Source organism: Homo sapiens, chromosome 11 (genome assembly GCF_000001405.40).
Source record: "Homo sapiens chromosome 11, GRCh38.p14 Primary Assembly".
NCBI lineage: Eukaryota > Metazoa > Chordata > Mammalia > Primates > Hominidae > Homo > Homo sapiens.
The window spans coordinates 19,071,242-19,080,744 of record NC_000011.10 but is presented as its reverse complement, the minus strand read 5'-3'; the positions used below and the strand labels follow the sequence as shown (position 1 = coordinate 19,080,744).

Here is a 9,503-nt window from a genome sequence, read left to right as displayed (position 1 = left end):
ATGAAGTTGAGCTTCAGGTTGGTTAGCTAACTTGTCCAAGGCCACAGCTGAAGAGGAGGCAGGACTTGGCCCTGTGCGCTCAGCCACCACGTGACACTGTCGTCACTTGTGAGAAGAGGAATGCACATTGTTATAACCACAGTGGAGCCCTAAAAGGGTTTTCTGCTGGGATACAGGGGAGGAGTAATGGAGGGAGATTGGGAATGGTTGTAGCCTAAGAGGATCTATTGAAGCATTTTTGTTTCCAGTTATAAAAATTAAATTCTTCTCCTGCATAAGATTTAATTATTCTGAGGAGGCTGCACTGATGAAAGTAGTTAAATTATCTTCTCTGAAAAGATAATCAAGAAATCTGGATTCAGGTCCTGGATCTGCTCCTTAGAAACCGTGTGTCTTGCTCAAGTCCCTCAACGTTTCCATCTCCCCAAGACTTGTGTTCCTCATCTATGTAATGCCTTATCCCACATGGAGTCTTTGGAGGCTCAAATGTGAGTAACATGGAAGTGCTCTGTCAATTGCAACTTCTGTACAAATGAGAATCATTACTTGTACCATTCATAGTTTAGAAGACTTTCAGTCTGAAGGAGGAGATAGCTGGAAGCCCCAGGCTGGGCTACTAATCCAGCACACTTCGCAGGCTGGGGACAAAACACATCACATAATTTATGGCTCTGAGCTCAAATTATTTGGTTGGAAGTAGGCACTTTGGGGGAACAACCCTTTGAAATTTAATTGTAAATTAATGGGTTTCACTTGTTTCAGGTTTCAAATTTTTTTCTGGGCTGAGACCCAAGATTAAAACCTGATGTGTCACATTCTTTCATTCTGTGTGTTTAGAAGAAAACAGGCCCCTGTGAAAGGCTGCTGGGTGAGGCTGGCAAAGGAGGAAGGAGCTGATCCAAGAGTTGTTAATCACCCCCCAACGATTTCCTCATCAACCGAGCCTTTCCCAAGGACTCCCTAGAAACTTGAATAACCAGGAATGTATTCTTCTGAACTACCCTGTTTAAAACGGACAGCTGAGTCATCCTTTCCAGGGATGTCCAGGGCTGACCAAGAGAATGACAGTGGCTAAGGCTATCAGAGCCAAAGGACACTCAGAGGTTGCTCTCTGCAGCCACCCCAGGCAGGGGTTTTTTGAAGAGATGGTCATCTCACACCCCTAGCGATGGGGAACTCACTCCCTCTCATTGTCAGACACTTGCTGGAAGCTGCTCCAGATCTCCAGCCTCCATTTATCTCTGTGTAATTCTCACCCACTGCTCAAGGGTCCATCCTCTGGAGCCACAGGGCCATGTATAGCCCTCTCCACCACCTGCGTCAACCCTGAGACAACCCTTCCCAAGACTAAGTCCTACAAGTTAAAGAGATGGATGTAGCTGAAAATATATATCTTGAGGCATCAGAAGGCTTGAATTCAAATCTCAGCTTAACAACTCATTAGCTTTGTGACTTTGGGAAATTTGCTTAACATCTCTGATCCTTAGTGTACTTATCTTTAAAACAAATACCTTTGGGGATTGCTGTGAGGATCTAACATATAAAGGAAGAGGAACCTAAGGCCAGAAGTAAAGTCAGACCCAAGTGAATACATGGGAAGAAACTATCACACACTCCGGGGAATTCTGTACCGTCTGGTGGCCTAGACCTGTTACACACAGGACTTTACTAGGAATGAAGGGGTGATTCTGCACTAATCCTTATATCCATGCAGTGCAGGGAGTCAAATTAGAGAGCCCTCTGAATAAAGCCAGGACTCAGAAACAGCTATACTCTCTGAGAAAAAGGATGATTGATGAAAAATAAAACAAACAAAACATAAAACCTGCACAGTATAACTAAGCAGCAAGGAAAAGTGTCTGTGTCCACCTTGATTTACAGTAGTTGGGGGAGAAAATAGTGCCCTGAGGTTTCAGTGCTACTGGCTGACCATTGCATAACTAGGGATTCTGAAATGACACTAATTTACACATGGTCTTAAAACCCTCAAGATGATCAATTGAATTTAAGTGGACCTTGAAAAAGAAAAAAATAAAGTGGACTCTGTTCTGTTATCAGTATGTCCTGACGCCTGACAGAAGCAATCAGGAATCTTCCCTACAGAAATGCACCCTCAAGCCAAGCCTTATAGAATTATCATAAGATTCCAAAAACTAGGGGCTCACAATCAAAATGATGTGTGCAAGGAAACAGACCACCATGAATCAGTGGCAGCAGAAACAGCAAATTATAGAACCAGGCCCACAAAGACTTCAGATATTGGGATACATATAGACTATAGAAAAATTATGTTTAATATGTTTAAATAAACATATTAAAGAAAGACTCAAAAGAAGACTCACACCCACATCTTCTGGCATGGTCCAGTGCTCTTTCCACTAATTCAAGAAAGAAAGAATAAAAAATGAGTCAAGAACAAAAGAATATAAAAATGACCAGGCAGATTTGAAAAATAATCCAAGTACCTACTAATGATGAAGTATCTCAAGCTTCCTCTATGAAAGCCAACACACTTCCTATTAGACAAAAATTTAGAAAATGTCCAGTCCACCCCCAGCTATTAAATGCATCCTGTGCCAGCAGCAGGAAACAGTCATAAATATTCTTCCAGAATCATCCTTTTGCCTGACCCATTCCTCTTGTGCTGCTTTTCCTAGCTCTGGGATTCCCTGGATTCCTTTCCCAGTTCCAGGCACCAACTTCTGGCCCTCTTCCTTATCTAGGTGACACATTCAGACACTCCTCAGCTCCCCTCTCAGCTCCACATTTCATGGGGCACCTTCAGTCCAAGTGTGAGGGGGTCTCAAATATGACTGTGCTAGCAGCAATTATTATAAACACGCTACGTGCTACCACCACCATCTGCATGCTTCTTTACAAAATACCTTTTATGTCTATGAAAGCTTGGTCATCCTCACAAATGAAGGAGACAGGTTCACAGAGTTATAGTCATTCAGCTAGAAATGGACAGAGCCAAGACTCAAAAGAAGACTCACACCCACATCTGGCATCTCCCAGTGCTCTTTCCACTAATTCAAGCTACCTCCAATAATAGAGCAATGATGAATAACCAACCAGCACTGTCTGTTCTTTATTATTACATAGGTTAAACCCTCACCTGTTTTCATCAAACTGAACTGAAACCTTCTCAAGAGTTACCCAGTTGGTTGAGAAATCTGTGGGTCATTGCCAAGTACGGTCTTAGGATCAAGGAAATGTTAATTTATGTCCCAATTGTTTGGAGATCACTGGCTACAGTTAGTGGAGACATAAGTACAGGTTCTTTCGGGCAAAAGCCAGCCTAAGCATAGCACACGATGGAGAGGTACCCGACGGGAACGGAGTCCCTATGATTCCCCCCTTCCCCTGTCTCAGGGTAACATCTGAAGTTCCACAGAAAAACATGTTTTAAACTATCAAACAAAACATTAAAAACCTATATAAAAAAAAATGAGAGCATGTGTACCCAGCTAGGTAAAGTGTGCAATTTGAGTCTGTTTTCTGTTCATTTTACTCCGGGAGAGATTGTCTAGACAAAAGCAGAAAAGAAACTTTGTGTGCGCCCTCTTGTGGAGGAGGCCTAGCACTGCAGGGCCACCCCCAGCCAGCCTTGCCCTTTAGAGCTGCTGAATGAGACAGACAAGGGGCTGCCTGCCCATGGAATTTACATTCTAGTGGAAGCAGATGGGGAAAATCCCAAGCAGATAAATGAACAAGATCTTTCCAGATCATGAAAGTAAAGAGCATAAAACAGGGTAATGTAATAGAGTGAGTAGAGGAGGGTGTGGGTCAGGCTACAAGTTGTGTGTTCAAGAAAGGCCAGCTGGGGCAGGGGAGAGGAGATGGCTGAGCTGAGCCCCAAGTGTCAAGAAGTTACCAACCACGGGAAGTTCAGGGCAACCAGCCCAGGCAGTGCCAACGCCTTGAGGTAGGAATGAGTTTGGGGTGTCAAGCACAGAGAAGCCAGTGTGACAAGTGGCAAAAGCAAACAGAAGTATTCCAGTGAGTGAGGATGGAGGGTGAGGCACCTCTGGGAGCACGCATATCATCCAAGTAGGAAAACGGGGTCTGTTTCACACTTTCAGGAGACTTAATTCTCACCCCTGCACCCACCTCCCACAGCCAGTTCTTCAGCAAATCCAGTTGGCTCTGCCTCAAACCATCCACTTTCCTCATCCCTATGGCCATCCCCAGCCCTAGTTATCACCCTCTTCTGCAATAGCTTCCTAGTGGATCTCCTTGCCCCTTGCAAGGCATTCTCCTCTCCACAGAAAAGTGATCTGCTTAATGTAAATGAGAAAATCAGATGGTGCCTCTTCCTTGCTTAGAACTCTCCAATGGCTTTGCACTTAGAATAAACCTCCCCTTAGGTCTGACTTATCCCTGCCTCTGCTCCAGCCACAGTAAACTCTAATCTCTTTCCTGCTTCAGGACACTTGCACTCGCAGTTCCCTACACCAGGAACATTTTTTCCTTGGTTTTTGACAAATCTGGTTCCTTTTCATCCTCCTGGGCTCAGCTTAAACTTCTCAGGGAATCCTTCCTTGACCACTCCATCCAAAGGAGCCCCCAAGTGACTCTCCATCACCTTGTCCTATTGATTTCCCTCATGGCAGCTATGATAATGTGTCATTTTTCCATTTATTCATTATTTTCTTACTTTTCATCTTTTTTCACATTGTATTTGAGGTCCATGAGGGCAGAGACCATAACTCTTATTCACTGCTGGATCCTCAGTGCCTGCAGAGCTCCTGGTATTTGCGTGATATTTGAGGAATGAATGAATGAGCCCTAGGAGGTAGCAGTCAAGATGGAATCTAGGAATTATCTAGCCCAACAGCCCTCAAATTCTGTTTTTAGCACAGAAGCTGTTTCCAAATGGACTCTTACACAGAACCTAAGAATGAAGCAAGACACAGCAGACATGAGCCCTGCCCTCCTGGCTCTGTCTCCATGTCGCCAAGAGCCCTGGCTGAGCCAACGACACTGGCAGCTCTTGAGAAACACCTCCCAGGTGGCTAAGTCCTCATGAATTTTCCCTCAGCCCATGTTTCTCTGACTTCCCCTGTTCTACAAATGAGAACAGAGGCAGAATGGAAAATAATATTTTAAATTGCCATCAGCAGTTTGGGGGGTGGGTAGAGTTAAATATATTAGAGAAAATTTTCATGGGGGAATGTATTTGGGAACACTTCTGGGGTGTGAGTGAGCTCTGTGGTTTTTACTTCAGAGCACCTATGTGGGCTCAGGCACATTTGCAAGAATTTCTGGAAGCCCTGTGTGCCCCAAAGAGGGAGCAGAGACCAGTTACTCTCCTGCCATCCTTTTCCTTCTCCAGAACATTGATGTGCCCTTTCAGGTGCCAGGCAGCACAACTCAGTGGGCACAAAAAGAGGGTGAGTCGGCAGAGGCCTGCTGTCCAGGTGTCCTGGGAAAGTCCTTAGCTGTGTTCACATCATTTATGACCCAGTTCGTATATTCTCAACTCACCTTTTTACCTTGGCCATTGATGTGGCAACCAACTATATGCAAATGTAGCCTGACTGCTGTCCAGAATGTCTCTTGATTTCTGTTTGTTTTTTTTGAGACAGAGTTTTGCTCTGTCACCTAGGCTGGAGTGCAATGGTGCGATCTCGGCTCACTGCAGCCTCCACCTGCCAGGTTCAAGCGATTCTCCTGCCTCAGCCTCCTGAGTAGCTGGGATTACAGGCATGTGCCACCATGCCCGGCTAATTTTTGTATTTTTAGTAGAAATGGGGTTTCACCATGTTGGCCAGGCTGGTCTCAAACTCCTGACCTCAGGTGATCCGCCTGCCTCGGCCTTCCAAAGTGCTGGGATTACAGGCATGAACCACCGTGCCCAACCATGTCTCTTCATTTCTAATGGCTACTTATCAGCTGTGTGATCTTGGGCAAGTTGCTTAACCTCTCTAGGTTTCATCATCTGAAAAAGGGGGATGATAATGATACCACTTCATATGATTGTACCAAACAGTAAATGAGTTAATAAATGTAAAGTGCTTACAACAGTGCCTGACACAAAGCAAGTGCTATCAAAAAGATCAACATTGTTATAATAACTATTATTATTGTTGTTACTCTCGCTAGGGCTGAGCACTAGAAGAGGGAGACGGGGCTTCCTGTAGCTCCGAGTCTGCTAAGCAGGAGCCTGATTTGCCATGGACAGGAGTTGACTTCAGTCCTCAGGCTTGTGGGGTGGGGGCAGGGAGGACAGGAGCTACCATTTATTGAAGGCACAGAATCAAAGAATTCTCAAAACACCTTAGGGAGAAGATACTCTTGGTATCAAAGTGGTGCCATTGGTCTGGGGCAATAACCGAGGTTCATTGCCTCATTCCAAGGAAATCGAGGACATGGACACAAACGAGGAGTGAGTTTAAGAGCAGAGGTTTAATAGGTGAAAGAAAGAGAAAAGAGAAAAACTCTCTCCTGCAGAGAGAGGGGCTCCGGACTGGATCTTCCAGTTCCACGGTGAAATGCATGGAGGCGTTTTGTAGATGAGCTTGAGGAGGCAGTGTCTGATTGACATAGGGCATGAGAGATTGGTCAAACCAGGTGTGCTGTTTGCATAGCATGCAAAGAAGCTGGTCATCCCACCCTAATCTTTTATTATGCAGATGGGGTCTCTACCTGGCCGGTGCCATGTTGCCTGCTTTTTACTGCACATGTGGTGACAAAGGAAAGGGAAGAGGGAACCTCCGTGTTGAATATACCTGGCTTCCAGATATCGCTTTTCTATTGCCACAGCTGCCAGTATTTACCTATGTGAGCTTTTAGCTTGCTTATCTATGCTTGCAGCTTGATTTTTCAGGTTGCTTTTTCTTAGAAAAGAAACAAGTTAGGGGCTGCTTTTTATTAAAAGGAAACCTTACTGAGGACTCTCTTACCCTCACTATCTGCCTAAATAATTTCTTTCTAGTTCCTGTATCACTATCACCTTTTTAGAGATGAGGAAACCAAGGCTTCAGGGGGTTACAGGAGTCATCTGAGGTCATGTAGCCTGGAGTGTCTGAACCAGGGTTGCCCCTAGGCCCAGTGAGTGTGGCCCTGGTCCCTGTCGCCACCCTGCAAAAGGAAGGAAAGGGTAGTGCATATCCCTGTGGTTCCCAGAATGTCCTAGGGGAAGAAGGAAACTGCAAAGATGTACCTCTCAGCCCTTTGTGCCTGCTGGAAAATGCTGCAGGCAATATCCTATCAGGGTCCTGAGGGGAAGGTGGTGCTCTGGGCACTGCTTCCCTGACCTATATCCAGGAGGCTGGGCTCTGGGTGAGGTAGGTGGGGATGGGAATCTGTTGGGAAGAGCACTGGGCCAGGAGTCAGGAGCTGAATTTCAGACCTCACCCAGTGTGCCAGTTCCAGCACCTAAAACAAGGCCTATCAAGTAGCAAGGAGTGCACAATCAATATTCATTGAAGAAATGGATGAGTGAATCCATGAATGAATAACATAGGCCCTGCTCTCAGGGAGCTTTCAGCCTAGAGGAGCAGAGGAGACAGGTGCAGCAGCTACAGAGTTCAGATGAGGGGAGTGCCCTAGGACCTGGGTTATACCCCAAAACGGGAGCCTTCTGGGGCCTAACAGGTAAAGGGGACTACAGAAGGCAAAGAGGAGAGAGGAGTGCAGAGCACAGAGGCCTGCGGAGCATGGGCTTGGAGGCTGAGTAGGTTAGCACTTGAGAGGGATGTGAGAAACGGCTCACACTGTTCGGATCCTTATATTCTGGAACACATCCTGCCCCGACAAGTCCTTCCCTTCACTCTCTCAAAGCATAACTCCAAACTGTGCAGTTATCTGTGGATTGGGGTAAGCTTGGCTCCCCCACACTGATTTTCTAAATTTGGGCTGGACACAGGAGCTGGTTTGACACAGAGGCCCCACAGGTCTCCTCCATCCAACAAGCAAAGCCTGGGACCAGCCCAACCTTCAGGGAGTCGCCCTCAGCCTCCTGAGCTATAGGCCTTCACTGCACCCAAGTCTTCACTGACGCAGACCTCCACACTATGCCCTCCTCCCTGGCTGCCCAACCCTCCACCGTGGGGTCAGACACACCCTGCCCACCCCTGGCAGCTGGTCCCTACAGCCTCTCCCTGGCCCGCCCTGGCCAAACACTGGCAGAGGGAAGCCTGGGAAAACCAGACAGGCAGGACTTGCCAGATGGCAGCCAGGCCTGAAGGAACCTGGGGAGAAGAGGGTGACGTGAAGGTCACTGGGGCTCCCTGAAAGTCAGAAAGACATGGAGATCAGTTGTTGTTACTGAGACGTAATGGGCAGTAAGACTTACTCTTTTGTTTCCCAACAAATGACAGAATTATACCAGAAGTAATAACCCTTTCCATCTCTATAGGGCTATCGAGTCTCCAGCCCATGTTCACATGAGGTATCCGCTCTAACAGAGGAGCAGGAACAGAAGGGAACCTGGGGCGTACCTCCCTCCATCGCATAGCAGCAGGTGCAGGCACCGTGTCTTTGCCCAGTGCTTCCATCTGCTGTCCTCAGGCTATTGCCCTGCCCCAAAGCCTAACGTGGCAGACACGTGCTGAGCAGTTTCAGCTGGCCTTGGGGATTGGGATTTTAGGAGCAAGCTTCAGAAACCCTGTGGAAGACTGGGAAAGTCGGTGAAATAATAAAGATGGTCCTGACGATGACAGAGGGCACATTCTGATGTCACACGGCTTTAAGCATGTGCTAAGCACTCACATGTGCACCTTGAATACCTCACAACAGCCATCTTACTGATGGGGAAGCCAAGGACTGACTAGTAAGGTTAAGCAACATGACAGTAAGATTAAATTAGTAGTCCTAACCTGGATTCACAGACTTAGTAGATCGGGATTTGAGACCAGCATTTCAGTGGTTGATTAATAGACACTCGCAGGAGCTGCTGTACATGCTGCCATCCATGAATGCTCAGGTTGCAAAAATTACATGGGTCCCCTTCATTGCTCTACTTTAAATTGGGATGGATAATCTTGGCTACTCGGGAGGCTGGGGTGGGAGGACGGCTTGAGCCCGGGAGTTTGGAGATGCGAGCTATGATCCTGCCACTCCACTTCAGCCTGGGTGCAGGGGGAAACTTTGTCAAAAAAAAAAAAAAAAAAAAAAATAGAAAGGAAAAGAAAAGAAAATTGGCGTGGGTAAGTAGACAGTGAGTAGAGACCGGTTCCCAAACTTCACAGGGCATTCGTCTCACTTGGATTCATCTTCCTGTTCCCTCCCTCTGTCCTCACCCTCCCTCCCTATTCCCTCTTGCGCGCAGGCACACACACCACGCACAAACACACATCGGCTTGAGATCCCAAACTTTTTCCAGCAATGTCATTGACATGGGCCCCCTGCTGGCCAGTCAAGGGTTACCGCATACTAACAAAGCAATGATCCTTGACTACCACCTAGTGACGTAATGTGGTAACATTACATTTCTTTTCTATCCCTTCACAATCTGATGTGGTATTAAATATTTCGGCAACCGGAAGCCAAAATGT

General features: G+C 46.6%; 1 annotated feature.

Annotated features, from left to right (window-relative positions):
- Positions 2,409-2,703: a silencer, noted in NCBI's record as "tiled region #14303; HepG2 Repressive non-DNase unmatched - State 22:ReprW". NCBI's record gives its function as "represses a minimal TATA promoter and a strong SV40 promoter by Sharpr-MPRA in HepG2 cells {active_cell/tissue: HepG2}" and the evidence as "EXISTENCE:reporter gene assay evidence [ECO:0000049][PMID:27701403]".